The 26,627-nt window shown below is 34.2% G+C and overlaps 1 long non-coding RNA gene across 1 annotated transcript in view; it reads left to right on the plus strand.

Annotated features, from left to right (window-relative positions):
• The first annotated feature begins 5,529 nt into the window (after positions 1-5,529).
• LINC02301 (long intergenic non-protein coding RNA 2301) overlaps positions 5,530-26,627 on the plus strand; it is a 64,194-nt gene continuing 43,096 nt past the window's right edge. Inside the window, exons 1-2 of the long non-coding RNA NR_146650.1 lie at positions 5,530-5,572; positions 13,822-13,894. This is a non-coding gene — a long non-coding RNA (long intergenic non-protein coding RNA 2301). The remainder of the gene's footprint in view (positions 5,573-13,821; positions 13,895-26,627) is intronic.

Below are 26,627 nucleotides of genomic sequence, written 5' to 3' on the forward strand. Positions count from 1 at the left end.
ACAAATATAGAGATATATGTAGAATCATATTTTGAGGCTGAAAGCAAAAGGTATGCATGACAACCAAAGGGACATTTTTCCTTGCTGTTTACTTGACCACCAGTAATTCATGCTTAAACTTGTTCTTTATAACTGTATTATGTACTGAAAATGGGGAAAATTATTTTGTTCTAAACAAAAATGTTGATCTTTTCCTCATAAATCAGGAGCACTGCTTCTTTCTATGGTTCACATTAATGAAGAAATGTGCCAGATTAAAGGTAGGTAAAGATAAACTCTTTATTGATCAATTTGTTCTGAAATCAGATTCTAAATTTAATATACCACTTGCTATGGCCTGCATATTTGTGTCCCCACAAAATTCATGTTGAAATTCTAACTCCCAAGGTAACTGTAGTAAGAGGTAGGGCTTTTAAGTGGTAATTAGATCATGAGAGCAGAGCCCTTGTGGAAAAGGCCCAAGAAGACTTCTCATTGCTTCCACCATGTGAGTATGCAATGAGAATCCACCACCTATGGGTCAGAAAGTGGGCCCCTCATTAGACACACAATTTGCCTTGATCTGGGATTTCTCACCCTCCAGAATTCTGAGAATAAATTTCTGTGGTTTATAACCTACCTAGTATAGTATTTTGTTAAATCAATCTGAATACAGTAAGATACCCCTCATCTACTCTGATTCATCTTTCATTTTCTTCCCTTTATAGTCTTTAATTCTAAAAGTAGCATAAATGTTTATTGTTATGTGTTCTCACAAATAAATGTGTTCTTCCCTTGCTATTTTTTGAAATGCCCATAGGTACCACAATGATGAACACACAGTTAAAGAATTTCACTTAAGATAAAAAGACAGCAGGCCGAAGAACAACTGAAGAACATGTGTTGAGGAAATCAATGATTTGCGTGACCTGCATTGAAAAGCAACAATAGGTTGGGTGCTGTGGCTCCTGCCTATAATCCCAGCACTTTAGGAGGCTGAGGTGGGTGGATCATCTGAGGTCTGGAGTTCGAGACCAGCCTGGCTGACATGGTGAAATCTCGTCTCCACTAAAAATACAAAAATACAGGCATACACCTGTAATTCCAGCTACTTGGGAGGCTGAGGCAGGAAAATGGCTTGAACCCAGGAGGTGGAGGTTGCAGTGAGCCGAGATCGTGCCACTGCACTACAGCTTGGGTGATGGAGTGAGATTCCATCTCAAAAAAGAAAAAAAAATGAAAAGCAACAATACAGATAAGGAATAGGAGCTATTAAGTCGAGCTGCCAAAAAGTTTAGTAAAGTGTCAAATGGTGGTAAATTTGGTGCAAGGTTCTGCAAGAAATTTTCAACTGAAAATGCATTATTTTAAATTACTATCGCCTGTTGACTCTATGATAGCATTTGCCATTATTCAATATCAATTCTAAATTTTCACAAATAAAAAAGGAGGAATTCTCCATTTATTCAGCAACTGCATTCCAAAGCATTTTTGTGAGTTTAATGTCATCATCTTATTTAAATTAGATGTAGTAAAATTTCTGTTCCTTAACATAACGTGTGATTATTTACTGATTTCCTTAGAGCAAACTAGCTCGTCAGTGCTTCTAAATATTATATTCAAAAACAAGCAAATGAGCCCTATGATCAGGAAAACGAGAAAGTTCCACTCTATAGAAAAGTGCTTTTTGTCAGGTTAAATCAAAGGTCTACACAGTATTTACAATGAATTTGAAAGAAAATGTCAATATGCCATCTTTGTAAATTTCATGTTCATGAACAGAATATTTGGAAAAGTTATGGTAGCTGTCTGCAAAGCAGGTGACTCTGTACTTGCTAATTCTATCAGTATCTCACAGCAAATTCTACGATAACTTTTTGTATACCTTCAACTAAAAGGTTTATGAGCACTAGAAGGAGGTTTCTAAATGATCTATTTTTTCATTAGAAAAGACATGAAAATCAAATCCAACATTTTTTTCAATTAGTGAGTATCCCAAACCATTGGAGACTTCAGAGGGTTATTAGAATGTCAGTAAGACTAAAGTTGAGGTAGGTACCAAAATGTCAACTGTGTCCAAATATGAGATGGCATTTTTATTTACACTATAGTCTCCATAATGCTTCTTCATTCTTGGATTTAAGAAATCTTGGGATACTCTCCAGACCCCAAAACATATTTCTGTTGTTTGGAAGTAAGAATTGCTATATTTGTTTTTAAAGGGACCTATACATACACAGAGAAAGTAAAAAAAAAATGACACTTTGGTCAATCCTTTATTTTAATCATTTCTTTTATAAATAAAAGAAATAACTTTTTCTTTCTTTAATTTAAAAATTTCTTTTTACCCCTGAGAAGTTTATATGTAAAATGAAGGAGTAGCATATAAAGAAGGCATATCTGTGTCTATAATTATAATCATTAAATATAGTGTTTACAAATTTGGGTTTAGAATCAAACTCCTCAGATTTAATCATAGGTCTCCCTCGTAAAAGTTATTTAACTTCTCCAAACTTAACATTTCTCAGTGTCACTCATAAAAGGATAAAAATCATATTTACCTACTCTTACTTAATTATTCAGAAATATATGAGTACCTATTGTGTGCCAGCCACTATTCTAAAAGCCTGCAATAGAGAACAAAATAGAGTCCCTATTCTCAAAGTACTTACATTCTAGTGGCAAAGACAATAACAACTTTGTGAAATAAAATTACATTAAGTATCAAATACTAATAACAATATTTTAAGCCAAGTAAGGGACAAAATATGAGGAAACATGTAGTAAAACATAATATGACATAATATGGTTAAATACTCTTTTATAATAAAAATGCCCAGCAAATGATAGAAAAGAACACCTACAAACCAATAAAAGTCATCTGTGAAAAATCCAGCTAACATCATACTCAATAGTGAAAGACTCAATTCTTTCCCCTTAAGATAAGGAAGGAGACAAGGATTTCCACTCTCACCTCTTCTATTTAACATTGTACTAAAGATCCTACCAAGACAAGTAGGCAAGAGAAAGAAATAAAAGTCATCATGAGTGGAAAGGAAGTAGTGACAGACATCAGATTATATAATCTTGTGTACTGTGTGGTCTTGTCTGTACAAAACCTAGAACTACACATGAGTGTTATGCATCTTTTGTCTTCTTACCCAGTCAAATTATGATGAAACATTCCCAAACGGTCTTTTCAAGCCTTCAAAAAAACTCATAATAAATTACATGTGAGGATTTATGAGGATTAACTTGTTAAGCTAAATTATAGTGGTTTGAAATTTACACTAAAATAACTTGTTTTGATTTAACATCTTGATAAGTAATAATATGGGCTAATACTATAATTTGGGGAAGCAAACATTTTATATATGATATAAAATTTACAGGAATAAACTCTCAAACTCTCAATTTCTAATTTTTTTCTCTTTCTGTAACGTCTCTTTAAAATCCACACAATAAACTTATCTAATGCAGTTGCGCACAGCAGCTCTCTCATCTAAATGAAGGAATTTCAACCTTTCCCTGAATTGAATTAATGACAGACAGATTAACAGGAAAAAAAGGCATACATTTTTATTAATACGCATAAGCAAGGGGGAGTCACAAGAGAGCGATTACCAAATAACCCAGAAGATAGAGATACTTATATATCCTTCTTCATAGGGGAGAGGGGAGATGGGGAAAAGTAGGCAGTTGTTTTGAGGGATAGTAAATGATTATTAGGGAGAATGAATGAACCCAGGAGACAGAAATTAAGTTGTAAGTGTTTCATTTTAGAATTTGAATGAGCCAGAGAGGCAGACAGTATCTCATGAAAAACTCTATCCAGGTGTGGTTGCATTTCTTGGTCTTCTTTTCTGTGGTAAATAATGAGATTGCAGAGAGGGATGAAAAGGAATTGTCTTCTACGGTGGGTCTAGTCTTAAGATAGATAAGGGAAAGAGAGCCTCTTCCAGAATCTGCTGACATTCAAGTACCTAAAATTTGAAATAATGAGCATACCAGGATGCCATATTTTGTGGTAAAATTCCTGGGATTTCTTCACAAGTGTTCCTTAGAGAAAAACTACTTTTGTCCATTTAAAAAATTTTTATTTTCCAAAGCTACTGTAGAAATATTTTGTCTTATACAACTTTATATACATGTGTTTTTCTGTCTTATAGGTTTATATGCATGTGTTCTTTCTTATTCTTATTTTTTAAGTAAACATTGCCATACCCTGAATAGTGTTGTGCAATTTGGATTTTGGCCCATAAAAACACATATGCAGCATACTACTTAATAATTACACAATATCTCATGTATGGTTTTACCATAGATTTTGTTTTTAAGCATTCATCAACTGACCATAACGTAAATGTCTAGAAGCTTTGGTTATTTTATGCAGTGACCCAGTGGGTATTATTACACATGCATAGTTTATCAACTAATAGGATAAATAGCTGGACTATAGGATAAATACTAAAAATTAAACACAGTAGAGAACGTGACTTAAATATTGATATTGTCAAGTTGTTCTCCATAAAGATATATGAATATGCCTATTCCCTAATACCCTCTCTTACTGTTGTCAGATTATTTTATCGTTTTGCCAAATGAAAGCTGAAAAAATGGTTCCATGTATTTTAACATTTTCAAATATGAAGAAAAGCTGAAATGATTTTATGTGAATATCAATGTGAATACTACCTAGATTGTAACACAAAGATATTACTTCAAGATGAGAAGTAGTAATTTAATTTATATTTTTCCCGATATCTACTCATTTGTCTCCACAATTAAAAAAAACTCTCTATTTTAAAATTAACTTTTATACTTCATTTTTGTATTCATTTGGGTATATCTCTAAATTTTACCTTTTTTTCCATTTAGACATTATTTAATTATTTTAGTTGTTGAAAATTTAGAATTTGGATTAGTATTTATTTTATCTTGTCTCCATCTCATTCCCATTAACCTTCTTTTAAATGTTTTCTTGACCCTTCTCGGATGTTTATTTTGTGACATCACCTTTAAGATCATTTAGAGAGTTTGAAATCCTCCTTTGGTAATTTTGGGAAGGACCTTGCTAAATTGATGCATTTATACAGGATAATTGGCATAGTTAGACTGTTTAATTTTGATATCAAAACATGATCTGCTTTTTATTTGTCCAAATTTTCTTTTGTCCTTCAGTGTCATGTTAGTTTTCTTTCTAGGGATTTTGTATAGTTCTTCAAATTTCTCCTGCTATTTCTTTTAAAGTTGCTATTGAAAATGTGATTTTTAATTTCAATTATTTCTTCTGGCTGCCTAACATTTGACTATATGAAAGCAATTTCTTTCTGTATACTATTGTTTACCCAGCCATTTCTCAAAATTATGTATTATATTTACAGATTTTCAGTTGTTTTTCTTTGCTTTTCCAACCATATTGAGACCGCCAGGTGAAAAGGGCTTCCCGGTGAACCTCGGACGGGCCTGCGCACTGGGAGAATGGGGTGGAGCCACGGAAGTTCGCGCCATTTGCAGAGGGGAGGAGCCCAGCCTCTTGCGTTCCTGTGTGATGGGGCCGGAGCCAGTAAACAGGCTTCCTTCTCGCTCTGCTGTAAGTTTTTCTCTTTCTCCCTTTTCACCCAAGAAGTTCCGTTTTTCCTACCCTTCTACGTGTCCGCGAGTCTAATCTTTTCTGGCCATATGACAAGAACCAGGATTTTCCTACAATATAATTTGTAAGAATATACAGTTTATCTTCCTTCAAGTTTTTACCTTCCATTGCTGTTTCTAAATGTGTCAACAGGTATCTCCAGGATAATAGAAGAATAAAAATTCACTTCTGGTTTTAACTCTCACTGGAGTGCCTCTACTATTTTCTCCCATTGCACGTTATACTTAATATGGTTGATATAGGAACATATTTTAGTTATATATACATATATTTGTGTATATATATACAGATAATGCTAATCTTTTAAATAATGCATAGTTTTATAAATAAATACATATATTTACTTATCTTTAGTGTGCATATAATCATATAGCCATAAAAACTACATGAGTAAATATGTAATATATGTACATATTAAGAAAATATACATATATTTAAAAATTTAAAATATTGTTTAAATGAAAAGATACTGAATTTTATCAGTAACTTTTCTGTATCTATAAAGATAATCAAAGATTTCAAATCTGTGAATATGAATATTTTGTCAGTAGATATCTTTAATTACTGAAACATGCCATACTTAGATAGAGTGTATCATTCTTTTAATGTGCCTCTAGACCTTGTTTTAGTGTTTATAAAGGATTTCTATGTCAGATTCACAGGTAAAATTGGTTTCTAATATTTGGAGGGGGGTGGTTTGTGTTATCTTTGCTGGTTTTGAGTATCAATGTTATGCTGGATATTTTCCTACTTTTTTTACTCTTTGAAATAATCTAACATTTTAAGTCATTTGTTCCTCAAAAGGTTGGAGAATGATTAAGCCAATGAGCATCTTATTTGTTTTTTTTCTCTTTCTTCTTTGGTAATGATTTGTCTGTTTAAAATTTCCAACTTTCATGGGGTAAATTTTGGTAATTCATATTCTAAAAAATCATATATTTCATCTAGGTTCTAAAATTAAATCACATAAAACTGAGAGAATTGTTTCTTATGGTCTTTTATTTTCTCTCCTGTCTTTGGTAAATTCCGCATTGCAATTTCTTATTTTACATATTTATGCTTCCTTCCCTTTTGTCCCTTTATTATTAAACTATTGAGTCATCTGTTACTTTTCCCTCAATGGACCAAATTTTGGATATTTTAGTTCTAAATTTTTTTTTTTTTGCATTTTATTCTGCTTTTATTTGTATTCATTTCTCTATTTTTTATTCTTTAGTTGGTTATTTTTGGTAATGCTTGGAGTATGCTGCTTAACTTATTTACATTCTTTTAAGCTTATTGGTACGTGAATTTAAGACTAAATTTTCTTTTTGGCCATGTTTATTCTTTCCATATATTCTGATTTATAATGTCTTTTATTATTGTCATTTTATCCATATTGGGCACTATTGGTTTTTATTTTTATTTGAATCCAGTGATTCTGGTGATTGATTTTTTGTAATGAAAGTATTAAAATACCAGTTGATAACATCTTAGATATTTTCTTTTTGATTTTTGTTTCCAGCTCTGTTAATAATTTCTAATTTTGCTCCATTGTAAACAGAGAATACTGGCCATGCAATTACTTCATTTTTTTGTCATTTATTAAATATTCATTTCTAATTGTAGTACTATTCCTTTCAAACTTTCTCCTCAAATAAAACAGTTTAACAATGAAGCATGCCAATCTAAAGTGAAGAACTGCATGCCTTAAAAAGTGAGACCTTTGGTTGAAACACTGCTAAAGCAATCATGAGAAAAATCTGCACCAGCTACTTCTGTCAAACCAGCTGCAGCAATTGGGCACAAAAAGAGAGTGAAAATGGCTTGGCTCTCACTAAGCAGTTACAGGGTGTCATTTAAAGAACATCGAATTCACAACCACACAAAGACCTTCCTGGAAGTGAAGGTCATCATCTTTCTAGAGATGTGACTTGATTTTGATTTCCAGGTTTCTGTTGTGTGGGTTGTTGTTTGGTTGTTTGTTCTTTTTTTTTTTTTTCTATTTAAGAAGCACTTCACTTCTCAAGCATGACACTGCAGGGCAGAGCTTGATTTCCCAAGATCAGAAAATATTTATTGTTTCCTTGTCATTCTGTCAACATTGTTTTATTACTTGTCTTAGTTTGAAGAGAAAAGAAGAAATAAACAAGAATCATGCGATGATACCTAAAAGTATGATCCTTTTTTATCATCTGCCTAAGTGTAATGGTCTCAGATAATGTTTTCATCACATAGTGAATCTTAACTAAAACTCTGGCATCAGGCTCTCCTGCTTCTCAGTCCCACAACATAATACAGTTTCCAAATGTACCAAGGATGATACATAACACAATAAAAAGAGCTCAACCAAAATTTGAAATGCTGCTTTTTACAAATGGTCTTTAATACCACATTCACACACACACACACACACACACACACACACACACACATTCCATAGTAACATTCACTTAGAATCATCCTTAGTCCATACTAGAGTTTTCTGGGTTACAAGGAACCTAGAATGAGCTGGGATAATAGAATTGGATCTTCCTAAAGGAGACTTGAGCATTAATGCTGTTACTGAGAAATAAGGTAAACTTCAAAATCCTGGTTCACTGACATTCTCCTTGGTTGGCACCCTTTTCACCTTCATGTTAAATTGGAGCAGCCAACTTCTTACCATGTATTGCTAAAGTTCATTCAAATGAGGACAGAAAAAAAGATCAATACTATTTAATTTGTAAAAAATTCAAAGACTGAAGACAATTTGTTTTCCAAAGTCGAGACTAGTTTGTCTCCAAGCCCATCCTGTCTAAGCTTCATGTCCTGGTGAAGTGAATTCCATTTTCCCTATCCCTCGTCTTCCTTATCTTCCTTCCCTACACACACACACACACACACACACACACACACACACACACACACACCCCTCATTGGAAATCAGTATTATATTTTGTGACCTTTAGAAACAAAGAAAATCAAAAATTCTGCCATCTTCTTTTGACCTGAACAAAAGGCTCTTGGGACTTATGTAAATGTAATAAACATTTATTAGGAAAAGTTTTATCTTAGAGTTTAAAATTTCTCATGTGAGATTTTATTAGACTTATCATTCACATATTGTAATGAAGCAAGATGATTTCTCCTGGAAATTGTTCCCAGTGAGAGCACAATTATTAAATACCATCATCACTGATAATAATTAAACTTTTATCATCTCAGTTTCAACCCTGTCAGATCAAGCTCCCCAGAGGGGTGACTATGTGTGAGAAGCTTTAGAAAATGGTGTAGTGAATAAACAGTTATAAAGCTAACAAAACAGCTGATTAGCGACAGAGCCTGGGAGTCTGATCACTGTGCTAATGCCCTTCTTCAAAAGTCTATTTTATGTTTTCACTTACTACACTTCTGACACCAAATGTATGGTTTTTCTTACACCAACCAATTCTCCAGACTGTAACCAAGTGTCTACAATTTAATTCAATTCTGACCCTATCTACCCAGAGTCAGTGTCAGACTCTACATGTCAAGTAAGGGCTCAGTCCCACAAAACTGCCCTCACTTGGCAATTCTGGGCCCCTCCTACTTTTGACCTACTGCCTGTAAAGTTGGAAGTGTCCCACAACCCACTCCTCAGGTTTAACAGTTTGCTATAAAAGATCACAGAAGTCAAGAAAACACTTTCCTTACATTTATCACTTTATTATAAAGAATACAACTCAGGAACAGCCAAATGAAAGCAATGCATAAGGCAAGGTATAGGGCAGGAGGGCAGAGCTTCTACATCCTCTCCAGGTATGCTGCTCACCCAACACTACTATGTGTGCACCAACCCAGGAGCTCTCTGAGCCCTGTCGTTCAGGGTTTTAAGGAGATTCCATTACTTAGGTATGATTGATTAAATCACTGGACATTGGCATTTAACTCAATCTCTATCCCCTGTCCCCTGTCTCCCCTGAAGTAGGGAATAAGGGATCGTTCCAAGCCTCTAATCATCTGGTTTGTTTCTCTGGCAACCAGGTGTATATTTAAGCTATCCAGGCTGCCACCAGAGTGATTTCCTTGGCATAAACTCAGGTATGGTTGAAAGAGGCTTATTACGAATGACTAAAGATGCTTCTCTTACCCCTATCACTCGGGAAATTCCTAAGGCTTTAGAAAGCTCTTGTGCTTGTGCTAGGAACTGGGGAAAAAGATAAAATACATATTTCATATTATGTCACAATATTGCAGACAGTTTTGCAGCATGGCTGTTTTATTTTTACTGATTTATCCAATGTTTGAGAAAGTTAATCCCCTCCCATTGAGGAATAAGAATGCTAGGAATAAAATATAAAGCAGGTTGGAAGAAGAATAACATAGGAGCAGTTATTAGAAGAGAATTAATCATAGCTGTTATTTTTAAGCATCAACTCAGTTCTAGGCACTTTTAACTTTAAAACACTTAGCAAGTGCTAAGTAGGGGCTTATCAATATAAATGATTTACCAGAAATCCACTTACCTAATTGTAAAAAACAGTAGTTAAATCCAGAGCTGTTACAGTAGGTAGCTAGTCAGACATGAGCAGGGTAGGGGAGGGCTGAACACTCCCTACTCACTTACCAAGATATCTCAGGTGATTGTTACAGTATCTCTCTAAAATAACAATTGGTTGCAGCCAGCACCAGGAAAAGGCAGTCTCCCAAAGGATAGAAACACCTGAAACTAGTGATCAACTGCTTCTTGATAAGATTTCAGGAGTTGGACGAGTGGGCTCAAGCATGCTCACTAAGAGGCGGAATGGTGGCGTTTAACAGGTATAAGATCATTCTTGAGCACCTCGAGTGAGCATGTGTACAATTTCAGTACAGACACTGCACATGCTCCTCTGCCAAGTGCTGGCAAGCCCCTGTGTATGCAAACAGCCCACCCCTAGGGAAGAATCAGGGGAGAAGGGATGCAACCCTCTCCCCTCGGAAGTATGCCAACATGTAATAACCCTAGTTAAAGGTCAAACAGGGCACTTCATCTCTCAAGTCACCCACTTGACCCTCTTCCAAGTGTACTTTACTTCTTTCTATTCCTGCTCTAAAGGTTTTTAATAAACTTTCACTCCTGCTCTAAAACTTGCCTTGCTGTCTCACTCTGCCTTATGCCCCTCGGTGGAATTCTTTCTTCTGAGGAGGCAAGAATTGAGGTTGCTACAGACCCATATGAATTTGCTACTGCTCACAGAGCTACCTGCTTCAAAGTACATGCATAGGTTTTTGTTTTGTTTAAATACACTGTGATATTTTTTATTTGTGGGAGGAAGGAAAAAATACACGTAAAAGAGACAGGCCGGGCGTGGTGGCTCACGCCTGTAATCCCAGCACTTTGGGAGGCCGAGCTGGGCAGATCATGAGGTTAGGAGATCGAGACCATCCTGGCTAACACGGTGAAACCCCATCTCTACTAAAAACTAAAAATACAAAAAATTAGCCCAGTGTGGGGGCCCACATCCGTAGTCCCAGCTGCTCCGGAGGCTGAGGCAGGAGAATCGCTTGAACCCAGGAGGTGGAGGTTGCAATGAGCTGAGATTGCACCACTGAACTGCAGCCTGGGTGACAGAGCAAGACTCTGTCTCAAAAAAGAAAAAAAAAAGAGAGAGAGAGGGAGAAATGAATAAGAATCTGTTTATGTGATGTTGGTAAATATTTGGCTGCAGTTAATTTCATCGCAGCTGCTTAAAGTACTCAGTCATTAGCGTGGTTGTCTTGAGGATAATCTAGGTGAGGATGCCTGGACTAAGATTGCTGTGATGTGCACAGGTAATCAAACTTGTGCAGTTGACAAAGATGAGACTAAAACATGGAAAAGCAAAGTATAATTTTGCATGCTGGAGAGTTTGCAAAACTCACCAGCCTCACTGATCAATAAAAGTCAGTTCAACCATACGGAGCCTTGGGTGCAGCCTCTGCCTTTGAATGGATAGGACCTCACAGGACCACACCAAGTTAGAGACAAAATAATCATATATTCACAAATATTAGGGATGCAAACTTTAAAAAAACCCATTTCCTTTTGGGTATTTTGCTTTGTCCTCATTCTTTTCCTTATCTGATTTGAACTTTATAGTCCTGTTTCTTAATTTTCTTAAAATTTGAGAAATGGATGTCTCTAAATGTCACCGAAACACAAATTTTGGGTACCAGTTCTGGAGGATGAACCAGCCAATAAGCCCCAAATCAGGAGGCTTCAGCAAATGGAAACATTTTTCATGACCATAAACTTTTAACTTTTCCACTATCAGTCTAATTGGTTAAAATAGAAATAAAGAAAGGGAACTGTAAATAGCTCCTTGGAGGTGAGGAACAGTCCAAAGCAATAGTGGAAAAAAGAGGCTGGAGGAGGATGAGGAAGGAAGAGACAGTACAAAAAGCAGAGTGAACAAGTGAAAGAAATGTGAAACTTCATGATTTACTATATGATGATTTAAGCATCTTGAAGAACTAAATAGAGTGGACTTCTAAACCACTACTCATTCTTTTGTTTTTATTAACCAATCCAGCATTCCATATAAAGATAAAGCATTTTTAACTGATTGATTTATAGTTTTAATGCTAAGACTTCAGGTCAACTCCTCAAAGTTAATTTAAGAAAGAAAGAGGTGGAAGAGGTAAACAGAGGGAGAAGAGAAAAAGGAGAAAAGTGCTTTAGTAAAAAGCAGGAATATTTATACTAGAACATAAACTCTGAATTTCAGACAAGTAGTCATTTGTAGTGAGCCCATTGTAGGGGACCATGAGGATGTCTCTACACCTAAGGATGTCTTTAAACTTACTTCTGTCCGTACTTAGAGTTTAAATAGTCTCCCATATTAAGCAATTCAAAAATACATACATGAACACACACACACACACAGTGAGGCAGTCTTCTATTTTCTTCAGGTAATCTTTACTCACACTGGAGTTAGAATTATATGGGTTACTAGGCAAATCTCTGGACTGTAAAATGTGTGTTAGCCATGGAAGCAAGATTTAATATTATAATAAAAGTTGCTCCAAGAAGAGGGCTTAACACTAAAAGGAAGACGTAGTTCTCCTACTCTGAAGACGGCAGGTTCTTTAGACACTGGGCCAGGGAAGCATTATCTTTATCCCCGAGGGTTCACCTCCATGTTAGTCTGTTCCTGAGTCTTGCTTTCCATTCTGAGCTGCCATTGTCTCTTCCTGAAGGATGTGTGGGTTGCTGTTTGTTCCCAGGAAGACTGAGGTTTCATCCTTGATGTTAATCCTTTTGCAAAGTTAATGGTTTGCCTCTTTATCCCTTTACTTAGAGTGTTTCTTTTGAAGTTCCCCATCACAAAGTTTGTATTGCTGTTTCTCAGTGTTTGAAATCTTGTTAGGTACCAATGAGATCACAATTTGGCTCTGCTCTGTAAAAAGCACTCATTTCATGTTTCACAGACCTCTAAAAAGGTTTGTCCCTTGGAGGACGTGGCATATTATTTGACATTAATGTTCATGGAGTTAAGTGATCATCAACGAGATAATAGACTCCATGGTAAGGGCTGCTGAACTCAATTTATAACATGGCAAAAGAGTCTTCTAAAGAGTAACTCAAACATTGACTTTCTGAGGATCTTTAGAATTTTTGTCAATGCTAATGGCAGCAGCACGTGGGTGTGGCAAAACTGCTACTCTATTGACATGATTCTGCAAACCCCATCTGGGTAAAAAATTACAGCTGTTTTCCTATAGATGGATTTTTCCATGAAGCTAATGAAGCTTAAATTTTGGGAATCTTCATTTACATGGACCTCATTCTGGGCAATATAATTTTAATTTGTAATTTTCCATTTTTAATAAAGTAGGTGTCCGAAATTGTGTAAGTTTCAGGTAGGGTTGACAGATTTAGTTAAAACCAACAAACACATAATAAACAAAAATTCAGAACATTAAGTTAAATTTGAATTTCAGATAGACAAAAATATTGTTTTTAGTATAAGTATGTCCCATGAAATATTTTCCATGCAATATTTGATAAATATTTATGCTAAAAAATGAAACATTGTTTGTCTGACAATATTCAAGGTCCTGGGGAATTAGCAGTGAACAAAACAAACAAATAATGTTCTTTTCTATTGGAAATTATAGAAATTAACCCAATAGGTGAAATATATAGTGTGTATAATATTGATTTTATTTTTACTGAGCAACTTTTAATATGCTTAGAAAAGCTGAATTAAAATATTTCCCTACAGGTATAAGAAGAAGAAGTAGGAGAAACAAAATAAGGAGGAGAAGAAGTAAAATAATTTGAGAAGGAATATGAAGGTAATATAGAAATAAATTTTGTTTTCAATATTAGGCTTTATTTTTAGAGCAGTTTTAGATTCACAGAGAACTTCTGTATATAACCACTTGCCTCTAGATTAAGCTAAATTTGAGTTTATACTGATTTCTCCAAAGCCAATCTATGATTGCTTGGATAATGCTTATCTCCTTCCCTTGCTTTATCTGTAAATTCCTATTCCAACAGTGAGAAGTTTGGCTCTCACCATCCACTGTTCCTTTATTTAATTGTTCAATTCCAGGGCATATATGCAGTAGTTTCAAAGTTGGTAACTAGTGCTTGCCAGGAGGCTACTTTACCAAATAGAGTACAGTGCTTACAGGCAGTTTCTTTTGCCCTTACTCTTACAGACTTTACTCATTTACAAAGTTACTCAGCTCAGCATCTTCCTCTCCTCACCATCTTCGGTGAGATTGTTTCAATAATCTACTAGAGACACAGGTGTAATTTCACCATTATTTGCCATACAATGAAATGTTCCTGTTGCGCATGTGTTATTTTGGAATCCCTGGACCTTCTAAATGTTTCTTTTTTCTTACCTTTTAATTTTAAAGTTTACCCCCTTATGCTTTAAAGTTACATGGGTTTTGGGTCAAATGGTATTTCTAGTTCTAGATCCCTGAGGAATCTCCACACTGACTTCCACAATGGTTGAACTAGTTTACAGTCCCACCAACAGTGTAAAAGTGTTCCTATGTCTCCACATCCTCTCCAGCACCTGTTGTTTCCTGACTTTTTAATGATTGCCATTCTAACTGGCGTGAGACGGTATCTCATTGTGGTTTTGATTTGCATTTCTCTGATGGCCAGTGATGATGAGCATTTTTTCATGTGTTTTTTGGCTGCATAAATGTCTTCTTTTGAGAAGTGTCTGTTCATGTCCTTCGCCCACTTTTTGATGGGGTTGTTTGTTTTTTTCTTAACAATGAGATCACATGGACACAGAAAGGGGAATATCACACTCTGGGGACTGTGGTGGGGTGGGGGGAGGGGGGAGGGATAGCATTGGGAGATATACCTAATGCTAGATGACGAGTTAGTGGGTGCAGTGCACCAGCATGGCACATGTATACATATGTAACTAACCCGCACAATGTGCACATGTACCCTAAAACTTAAAGTATAAAAAAAAATTTAAAAAAATTAAAAAAAAGTTACATGGGTTTTGACAAATGCATAATGTCATGTATCCACCTTTATAGTATCAGGCAAAATAGTTTCAATGCCCTAAAACAATACTGTGCTTCACCTATTCATGCCTTCCCTTTCCTTAATACCTGGGAATCAATAATCATTTTAATGTCTCAATAGTTTTGCCTTTTTTGAGACATTGTATAATTGGGAATATATAGTATATAGCCTTTTCTTAAACTTAGCAATATGTATTTAAGATTCCTCTATGTCTTTTTTGTGGCTTGATAGCTCATTTCATTTTTACCACTATATAATATTCCATAGCATGACTGAATCCCAGTTTGTGTATCCATTCATATTGGAAGATATCCTGGTTGCTTCCAGTTTTTTGTGATTATGAATGAAAGTGCTATAAATATTCATATGCAGGATTTTGTGTGGGCATAAAATTGTAACTGAAATGGATAAATAGCCAGGGACACAACTGCTGGATTGTATATTAAAACTATATTTAAGTTTGTAAAAAAACTGCCAAAATATCTTCCAGAACGATGGTACCATTTTGAATTCTCATTAGCGATGAAAGAAGGTTTCTACTGTCCCATCGCCTATTCAGTTTTTTTAAAGCCATTCTAATACTTATATATCAATAGCTCATTTTTGCTTTAATTTGCAATTTTCTGAGGATAAATCATATTGAACATTTTATGATATGCCTAGAAAAGCAGAGTTTTAATAGATATTTTAAAGAAAACATTTGTAAAAATAGAGTGATACCAAAGCAATGATTAATGTATAATAACTAATAGTAATAAACTTTAGGATTTAGAATTACCCTGTAGCATCTGTGAAGGTAGGAAAGTAAGTTATATATAAAAGAATGCAACCGGAATTTTGCATATTTCAAACTTTACTTGGGTAAAGTTCTCATAGATGGAAAAAAAGATAAATTTTATTCTGTTTTTATTGTGATGGATGACTCAGTTTTAGTAATTTGAGAAGGATACCCAAGGATAGTTTCCCAAAGTTATATTTGGGTAGTTAAGAAAGGCTCTTTCTCAAAAAAGAACTCCATATTGCTACAGTATTTCTACTGAGGCTAAGTGCTCAGTGCTAAGATTCACCCTTCTCATAGATGTATTAATACAGGCAAAAATACCAAGAGACCCTGTTAGACAGGCCCCATGATTATCTTCTTTTTTTTTTTTTAACAAAAGCTAAGAAATAGACAACCTAAATATATTATCCGAAGTCCACAGCAATGTGTGACAAATCCGAGATTTAAAATCAGGCTATATGGCCATAGAATCTGGCTTTTTAATCACCCCAGCCTATCACCTATCTTACACAACTTGTCCTATTACAAGTCAATAGGAAAAGCTGAGAAAGATAATAAAAAGTGAGACTTTTCTGTAAAATGAAATTGTACCATCTCTTGAAAGAATACAAATTCTTCACAGTGAGTTAAATAGGTATGATAAAAACTCACCTCTTTGTGGTTACAGAAATCCAGAATTTTAGATCTGGAAGAAACCTAGGAAAACATTCTGAAATTTCCATTTTATAAAAAGAGGACTTGGAAGCCGGAAACATACATTGTCTTTCCAGAATTGATACAAACTTGGGTTAACAGCTGCCATAAGTCTCTGAGCTAGTGTTGTTTTTAATGACATCATTATTTTCTATAAGAACATTACAAAAATTGTAGATTAACATTTCTTTTAAAATCATTTTGGTTAACCTGTCATTTGGGGAGTAAAGCCTCAAAATGCTTTAATTGTGGGGAAGGAGCTAGGACTGCACTTACATTTCTTATCTCTGTTGCATCAGGTAAGTACAAATAAAGCTTGCTGTGGGCTGGCTGCCATGATAAACCCTTATGCTAATCATCATTTCATTTAAATATAAATTATTATCTTGCTTCCAAAGGAAGTCACGTAAATCTAACTAGCAAAGAGTGTTTCTGTTTTCTTTCCCAAGTGACAGAAGGAGTGCCTCAATAATTTGATCCTCATTATTATAATATCAAATGAAAACTCTTGTGAATGAGGTTGCCTTTATTTTTTTAAGAGATCAGGAAGAAGGTGATAGCTAGCTGTGTGCTTTTAATTCCTTGGGTTGCATCCTGGTCTCAGTACAAGACCAGAAAATGAAAAAAGGTAGCTGGAAATAATGCATCCAATTATTTTGTTATTTAGATTTTATTGGTGGAACAGAGAAAGGAAAAGCAGTTAAGAAAACAAAGCTCAAGGTAATTTCAATTCATAGCTTTCATAGCGTTTGATAAATCTTCCTGGGAAATAAATAGCAGCAAGAGACAGTGAGCTGGGGAATCCTTTCAGTTTGTTTTGTAAATGGGGAAGTATATTGGAGTGTAATTAAAAGCTTAAATAATATAATTAATGAAATTTTGAGTGTGTCTATCACTAGATATTAATTATCTTGTTGCCACTATAACAGATAATGGCATCATTCTTTCTGATTAGTGTGAGGTACACATTCCAAATATGGATGCTATGGAACCAAAATGAATTGCTTACCAAACTAAATATTTTTTAAAAAACAGACATTTTCATTAATACTAACTCAAGGTGTTGGAGAATGATGAAATATGCCAATGAACATGTTTTCTTCCTGGCTAAAAATCAAGCTTATGAAGAATCTAATAAAAAATAAACTTTGCAGAAAAGGAAGACGATGAAAATGAATTAATACTACAAGAAGAAACACGTTATTTAAAAAGAGAGGAAAAGAGCAATATACTGAATTACAAAAGCAAAAATGTTATTAATAGAATGTAAGAAATCCTAGCAAGAATCATGGAAATAAAAACAAGCAGATGTTAGACAGTGGTGTTCTCTCAAGCCTAAGTTCTATCACAAGTCAGCTTATTCACAGAATGGCTTGTGTGTTAGCTTGGCTGTCTAGATCCCATAGGGAAGCCAGAGATCACCTCCAACCTCCCTTTAACTCTCATGTGGGCTCTTCAGCTGGATCTAGAAACCAAATTGACAGCAGGCAAGCTAACAAGAGAAAAGCATACAGGTTGTATTAGTTTTACATGTACACGGGGATGTTTACAAGAGCATGAAGTCGGATGTTTTTATACTTTTTAGACAAAGAATGATAAATTCAAGAAGAAATGACATAACAAAGGTGATCTGCCTAGAAGTAAATTTCTAGGAAAGTCACTAGCAGATATATGCAAGGGAGGGGGCTGTAAAACTAGTTGAAGATAAGCGTTACTTTGGTAAGCATAATTATTCAGGTCCTCTGAAGCCTCCAATTCCCAGTCTCTGATGATAAAGGCTACTTTCTTCTTCTGGCACAGGAAAAGTATCCCTCCCAGAGAAATCTTTACGGCTTGTGCACACAGCAAGAAACAAGCTAGATAGCCCTTTCTAAAACTGCAATTTCTGTACTGTTTTCAACTTGAAAGAATCAATATACTAATTAGGCATATTTTAGAACGGCACGTCCTTCATGCCTTCAATCTCTAAGATACTCAGTTCCAATACAGAACATGAGTCCTGGGTAGGAGACCCAGGCCATTCTTGACCCTGTAGTGTTCCCATGTGCTGTTGTTTTAGGAAGACATACTTCTCATCTGTGTGTCTAAGCCATAGAGTACCATGACCCCTTGGAGATAATAATGCCAGACTCGGAATTATTGGAATACTAATGCTGCATAGTCCACAAATCCCAGTGATATATAGCAAAATTGATTTGTCACACATCTCACCACAAGGCTGTCTTATCTAGCCTGTGTACAACTAGGCAGCTCTAAGTCATATGTCCCTTATTCTTCTCCTGGGCCCAGTAGGCTAGCCTAGGCATGCCTATCTCTTGGCCATGGCAGAAGCACAAGAGTGAGTTTGACTGTACAAGTACTTTCCATAAGAGTATTTTTTTCCTAGTAATATTATGCCTGCTAACATTGTATTACATAGAACAAATTATATGGTTAAGTCTAGACTCAAGTGATAAAGCAATACCACTATACCTCTTTAGTGGCAGGTAATACAAAGTTACATTGCAAAGGTCAGCTTTATAGGAAGTGGTGAAGGGTTGTGGCCTTTTATGTAACCTACCATAGGAAAAAATCAAACCTATCAGCAGCCATATTGAACAAAAATAGCAGGAAAATGGTTTCCCATAATACTTTCTATAATTTAGGTTAAGTCTTTCAATCACTCTGTAGTTAAAATGATTAGTTACCCTATCATGTAGTTAGTGTCAATTGTAATTATTTTGAGGTTGCAAATTACTCTTGCAGGTAAACAGATACAGTATTAGGAGAAAATGTAGGTATGTGCATTAACTCTCTTATTTTGTCTTATTTTCAACTTACCCTTACCTTTTTCAACTCTCACTTAGAAAACGTGATTTTGCTATGTTTACTTTCATGAAGCACGTCAAATCTTTCAAGGATGATATAAAATATTAACAAATTATCAATATGAGATCTTAAAATCAAAGTTAAAGTGAAAAACAAAATTAGAATATTATCTAGTTTTTCTCCCACACTTTACAGATGATATAACCAAACTACAAAGAAAATATATGACTTGTAAATATTTCGATGAGATACTTCGGAAGAGAAGTTTTTTGGTGATGTGCTATTATTTTATATTTCAGTTTATTGGGCAAGTTGTTACAAAATAAACTAGTTTGCTCCATCATTTTCCTTGTACTATATCATACATAATTACTGACCCTTATGCAAATGTCTACAAAAATCGTGTACTGAAAAATGTTGATTTTATTTTATTGCTTTTTATCAACACAAATAGGTACTTTATTTCTATAAAGAATTTTCTAATTTTAAGCTTCTAAATACTTTCTCTGCTTTTCTCTGCTTAAATATATTTCTCTTTCTAAATGTTACTTCAAGAATTGTGGATAAGAGTTTATTCAGGATTATTTGGCTATATTATAAAATACATTTGTTTTAAATATGCCCAGAAACTGAAACTAGCCTGAGAAGGAAGATACTGAGTCAGATGGAGCCATTTATATATGGAGATCCAGGATTTATAAGATCCATACCATTGAATTTGAAGTAAGGATACGATCAAGCTGATAATCCAAAGTGCACTAACTTCTAAGGACGGAAATGTTTCTCTGGGGCTATCATTGCACCCTCGCTCTCTGGAATTTCGGTATCATGAGAACACATAAGTAAGAGCCAAAATTCATAGGGATTCTGCCTGGAGAGGAACACAGGGATTCTGAAATAACCATGACATACATAAGTACCTCCAATTATTTGCCTCTCAGACAAAGCCAGCAGCTGTTGAAATATGGTAAGAAAAATGGTTCAGGGGTTTTCCCCCATGACTCAAGACAAGCATTTACATTATTTACACACTCAATGTCTCTTCTGACTTATGATTGCCTTACAATCTATGGAATATATTTAGTGTCCCTGTGGAAGCAATTATACATGAAACATCAACATATATTTATATAGTAGACAGCACTTTCATAGGTCCCTGCAGTGTATTTTAACAGTAGTGGAAACTAAAGTTTTGGTGTAATGTGTTTTTATCTATCATTCAGATCAAAGAATACCCAGTACTTGAAAAGTTTAGAAAGCAGTTGAAAGTTACATAGAGATGTAGAAAGCATTAAAGTGGTAGAAATTAATTAAAAGTCTTAGAATATATGAGCTGTAATTAGACTGGGTTTTAATGTTTAGTTTGTTAATATTTAAATATAAACCTCACAATGGAACTTGGCAATTTAAGAGATTTACAGATAATTTATCCTTAAAAGTATGAAGGATGTCTGTTACTCAAATATCCATCCCATTAAATTGAAAAGTTTTAAGTATTGATTCTTCTGTAAATAATAGAAGACTCCATTAAATTCCTTTACAGTTCTGTACATCTAGACTAAAATGAAACACCAAAATATGAAATTATCTCAAAATGAAAACATCTCAAAATTGAGGAATTTACTTTCCTACAATTTGGAAATTTTTGATAATTAAAAAAACAGTTATAGCATGAAAAGCAAATAGGAAGAGTACTTGTATATTCACTGACATTAAAGCCTTCTTCAAATATATTACTAAAGAGAAAGATAGGTATTGATTGATATGAGCTTCAGGTAATATTTTGCCTACAGCATGTCTCCAAAAATCTACTAGATTTTTAAAGTAGTGTAATCTATTCAATAAAGTTAGCTATTTGGATGTTAGTCTCTCCGTATGCCAAGGAAAAAAGTGTTACTATCTACCTATATAACTGAGTTTAATAAGTAAATAAAGAGATCATTCTTTTAAGATACGTTAAATGTTTCGGGTTCATGATAACATTTGTTGCATGACATTAAACCACAACAACGGAAAAAAGTATGAACTCATTTGCTATTATCTAACCATATTAAAAATATTTTACTCATAAAAGTTTAAAGACATCAACAGTAATAAAATAACTTAGAAAACATCTTGCATATGCAATTCTTGAGAAATAGTTATTTACAAAATAACTAACTGGTGAAAGAGCAGGACATCTTAATAATTCAGTTGGTAAACTTCCACGAATTAGATAAACCATTAACACTCTTTCAGTAATAAACATTCTCTGTGAATAAAGAGAACTGAATAAAGAACACAATGTTTATATTCTTTATTTCAATAATTCAATTTCTAAGAATAAAATCTTAGAGGTCTGATTATTCTTTTCAAAGATTTATACTTAGATAAACCAAAACTACACACAATATAAATGTTCATTTTTACAGGAAATATTTAAATAAAGTGGGCCTATGCATACTATAAAATACTATGAAGCTTTTAAACTAATGCTTATAATTTTTTAAACAAATAGACAAAAATATTATGATATAATTATAAGTGAGGAAGGAGGCTATGCAGTTTATATACATTATTGATCTCAATTATAAAAAACGTGCACCATAAATAGAGAAAAGGAAATGATCTAAAATGTCCATATTTGATGGTGGTTTTGTTTTGGGTTATTGCCATTTTCTTTTGATGATATATATTTTACAACGGATCTATATAGTGCTATGGTTATTTTTTAAATGTTTTAAAAATTAAAACATAAAAATATATCATTAAAAAACCATAACATTACTAAGTGTAATGACTTGTCAATATGCTGGAAGTTTAGGAAATTTTCTTCACCGAAACTCTGGATTTCTATTTTGTTTTCAGGACACTGGGTTACTACGTATAATTTGAGGATATGAGGAATTATTTAATTTAATATTAAATTTTCTTGTTACAATTTGGAACTATTATATTTTAAGAATCTAGTTAATTCCGCACTTCAGGCAAATCTTTAAGTCTGCAATGTTTTGCAATGCAATGAGAGACAGATAGATGGGATGGATTTAATGGTACCAAAGATGGAAAAGTGAGTGGCAAGGACTAAGACCATCCTTGCTGACAGGAAAGCAGGAGCAAGAGGAGATGCTCTTATTAAAGGATCATCCTACAAAACTGTCCTTGCGGTTTACTGTAACTAATGTTTCTAATGCAATCCTAAAACTACATAACACTGGAGGTCATATTAGTCAGCACTAGGGGAGAAATGTCTTCTGCTGAACAACATCCTTAACACCCCTCAGCAGAATCAGAGAATGCGGACAGAAGAAATGCTCTATGAGCTGGGGGAGTTTTTATTAGAAAGGACTTATCCACTTGGAAAAAAAGCAGTACAGCAGAGGCTAACACCACCAATCATTGAACAGAAAAAGGATTGTAGAGTCATAACTGGGAAGAAGTGTAATTCATCTAGATCGTTCTTCAAGCTCCAGAGGATTGTTATTCATTCACGGATTGTGAACTAAATATTTCTCTTAAATGTAAAGTGGACCAGAGTTAGTTTTTTCTCCCTATGACTTTGGTCAGATGGCCATGGATTTTGTGAACATTCAATAAATATTTATTAGTATTAATGGTTCTGTATCTTCAGTGAAATATTGTCCTGCCCTATAATCCTTTCAGTTTTCAGTCTAAAATTTTTTTTCACAACAAATTTTAACCTATTCTATATTTGTTGTAAATGGAACATTAAAAACTGAGAATGACGAATGGCCTCCTTAGACTGTTGCTTCTCATGTACAAAGTCATATCACGGCCACTGTTTTCTCTGGGTTTTAAATATTTACTAATAGTCTCTATTTTTAGTCCATCGTCACTCCATCTTCCATGAAATCAATGCCAGTAAAACATCATTGGAATCTATTGGCTACAAAATATTCCCCTGCGCTAAAGTCATGGCATAAAAGGTAAAGTATTATTTAGTATTATTTATATTTTTATTAATAAAATTTAGGAGGCTTTTTCTGAATCTTTTATCTGTGCACCCAGAATTTAAATCTCATTTTTCAACAATTATTTATTGCTATATGTGCATGAAGAAGGACACTTTTTGAGTATTAGACTAGGCAAAATTGTATCTTCTTAAATCACAAACTAACCTCTCAATGTGTTTGCCTCTTCTTAGATGTTTCTCATAGCTTGAATTACTGACTGTGGCCTTTTTCATTTCCTATAGTTCATAATGTGATTAGAGAGCAAGGGCATTTGGTTGCATATTATAATAAAATGATTGATATCTATTAGAGTGTCTTGCAGAACTATCAAAAAGAAAAAAAACTCATCCAATTGTATCACATAAAAACAATACTCTAATTTTTGGTACTTTCAAGAAATAACCTCACCCTAATGTTACCACTAACATATTAATATCAATTAATAATGGGCTGGGCATTAGCTAATGAGAAAGTATTTTGTCTTTTAGATTACCATTAATGGATGGAGATATAGCCTTATCATTAGTAGTTTTAAAAGTGAATGTAAAATGTGATTTTCATTCATGCAATATTTTGAGGCCTCCAAGGCCTGGTACTTTAAAAGCCTAGTACTTCTTTATGCAGAAGACTTCTACAATTCAAAACAATTCATCTCTTTAGGGTTGAGAAGTAACCAAGCCTGGCTTACTACCAGGTAGAATCATATAACTTTGCAGCTACCTACTGTATTCTCTGTCTTAAAGAGCCACAGTGCACATTAACATATAAAGGCTGTGGATGATCCTGCAGAAAATGCAAGTGTTTAACTTTCTTAGCCAGAGAAACTATGTTGTATTAAATCTTTAGCCTCCTATCATACTCATGTTTTTCAGAAAACAATTTACAAAATCTAATCTAACCCAACCTCTTTGTTTAGGTATAAAGAAACAGAGGAAGTGAATGGTTAAACATCTTGTCTAAGATTACGCTCTTACTGGCAGAAATTGATGTCAACTCAGATATGCTGACATAGATATATACGCTGTCACATCTCCTTGCTCACCCTGTGTTCATTAATCATTATTCTGTAACTGTAAATTAAGTATTTTTTTCCCAAACATACTAGCACTTATCAGAAAATTATCCTCAGGTTTGGTAGACAGCTACAATCACTTGAAGGGATTCCATCTTTAATAATGACAGTTTTTGGTATGTTAGTAACTAAATCATGCTGAAAGAGATTGATTGTCCTCCATAATGAATGGTATGTAGTGCTTTTCCAGTGAAGTTTCCATAAAGCATAAAGTCAAATATTTGTCTCAGTTCCCAAGACTTGAATTAGATAAGCAGCTTCACCTATACCACCAGATGTCATGTCAAACCTCCGGTTTCATTTTAAATATCTGCTTTTTTCATTTGCCCTGTCCTCTAAAAAATCAAACAAAATAGTCTTAGAATTCCTTATATTCAAAGTCACTTAGAGTAGTGAAATCAATTTTTATCAGTCTTCTTTTTGCTTATCTGATAATTTGGAAAACTCAGCAAAAGCTTTTTTTTTAATGAATAAGGCAAATGAAAAAAAAAATGAAGCCAACCGTGTTTTTCCATACTGTATGGGAGTAAGTCATTCAGTAGTGAAACGATCCTCATTTCTGAATGAAGGATTATTGTAGGTGGAGCCATTCATGTACCTTCAATATATTCATTTTATGGAATTTACCAACCCATTATACAGCATACAGTCCTGACTTTCAAAAATCTCATAATTTCAAAAGAGAGATAGATACATAAATAAGTAAATAGAATGCAGTGTCATAAGTGCTATACCAGAAGTGTGTACAGGTGCGAGGAGAGTGGAGAAATTCCAGGGAACCTAATGTCAAGCCTGTGAGGAAGAACTTTAGCACCATTACTCATTCTTTTTCCAACTTTCTTTCCTTTTCTGTTTAAAAGAATTAGAGGGAAAGGTGATTAACATATATGTGCTAGAAAGGCATGGGTATGAGTGTATATGTGCACGCCAGTGTTTGTATGTATGTGTCTGTATACATTACTAACATTTACCCCAGTCTGAAAAAAATTTGTTAAAAGAAAAAATTATAAATGTTATTGCCAGGATAATAACTGCATTCAAAGGAAGGTCATTGGTATCCACAGTCATTGATTATTCTGCATATGAAGAAACAAGCCCACTCATTGAACCAGCCCCCATTAGCACTGCCTCTACCCCTGCTTGTCAATGCTAACATGGAATGCATTTTCTTTCTTGCCTATAGCTCACTCTTCAGAAATTTTATTTGACTTTCCCAGTGTCTACTTAGAATACAGATGGAATCTAAGCAAAGGCTCTAACCCTCTCTCTTACAGGTTCAATAAACACTCTAACCAGTCATTCATGTAGCTTGATGACTTGTCCTTCCCTGGATTGTCTTGTTGCTAAAATTCAGACAGGATGCCAGACAAACTTAAGCATACCCTGAGAAATAAAGTTATAAGTTAAATCATTTTGTTCTGTTGGGAACTCATGAGCAAGAATCACTTACTAGCTTTTTAATGATAACATTTTTAGAATCATACAGAGATAACATTCTTTTCAACAGCTAATTATCGGAAAATAAAGAAACCTCAACCTAAGCCATGTAAATTTTAAATCATATTTATGGATAAATCCCATATAATGGAACAAACCTAAGACAGCACCATCTTTTCCATTCTCCTTGTAAATAGATAACAGTAAATATGACAGTATTAGACAACCGAAAAGTGTGATAAAAATGAGTTAATTGATAATATTGAAACCTTTTTCTCCATTTATAATTTAGTTTATCAGGGACTGGCAGTAAACTTGAGTGTCTGTTCTGAAACTCTTTATTATCCCTCCCTATCTGTAAAATCTGTAATTAAAGCAGTTGGTATTAAAATAAGCAAATAACAAAAAACAGAGGCCAAGCCCACCACACACTACTTCCCTAAACCACCAAAATTCATTACGTTTTACTGGAGGTTGCATGACCTGGATTTTATGTGTTTTCTTGTATAAAGTACAGGGTAAGCATACAGACATTAAGGGGAAAACAAATTTCACTAACCCTGTTTCACCATAGTGACAGAGAGAGGGTATTACCTGGAAGAAATAAGATTTACCACAGCATCTCAGCTTTTTCATCCTATACCATACCTCTTTCCACATTCTCAAGTGTACTAGGGTTCTCCGGAGAAACAGAACCAATAGGATATATATATACACACACACACAGATAAATAGATACATATATAATATATACGTTATATATATACATATTTTTTTTT

The sequence above is a fragment of the Homo sapiens genome, chromosome 14, assembly GCF_000001405.40.
Source record: "Homo sapiens chromosome 14, GRCh38.p14 Primary Assembly".
NCBI lineage: Eukaryota > Metazoa > Chordata > Mammalia > Primates > Hominidae > Homo > Homo sapiens.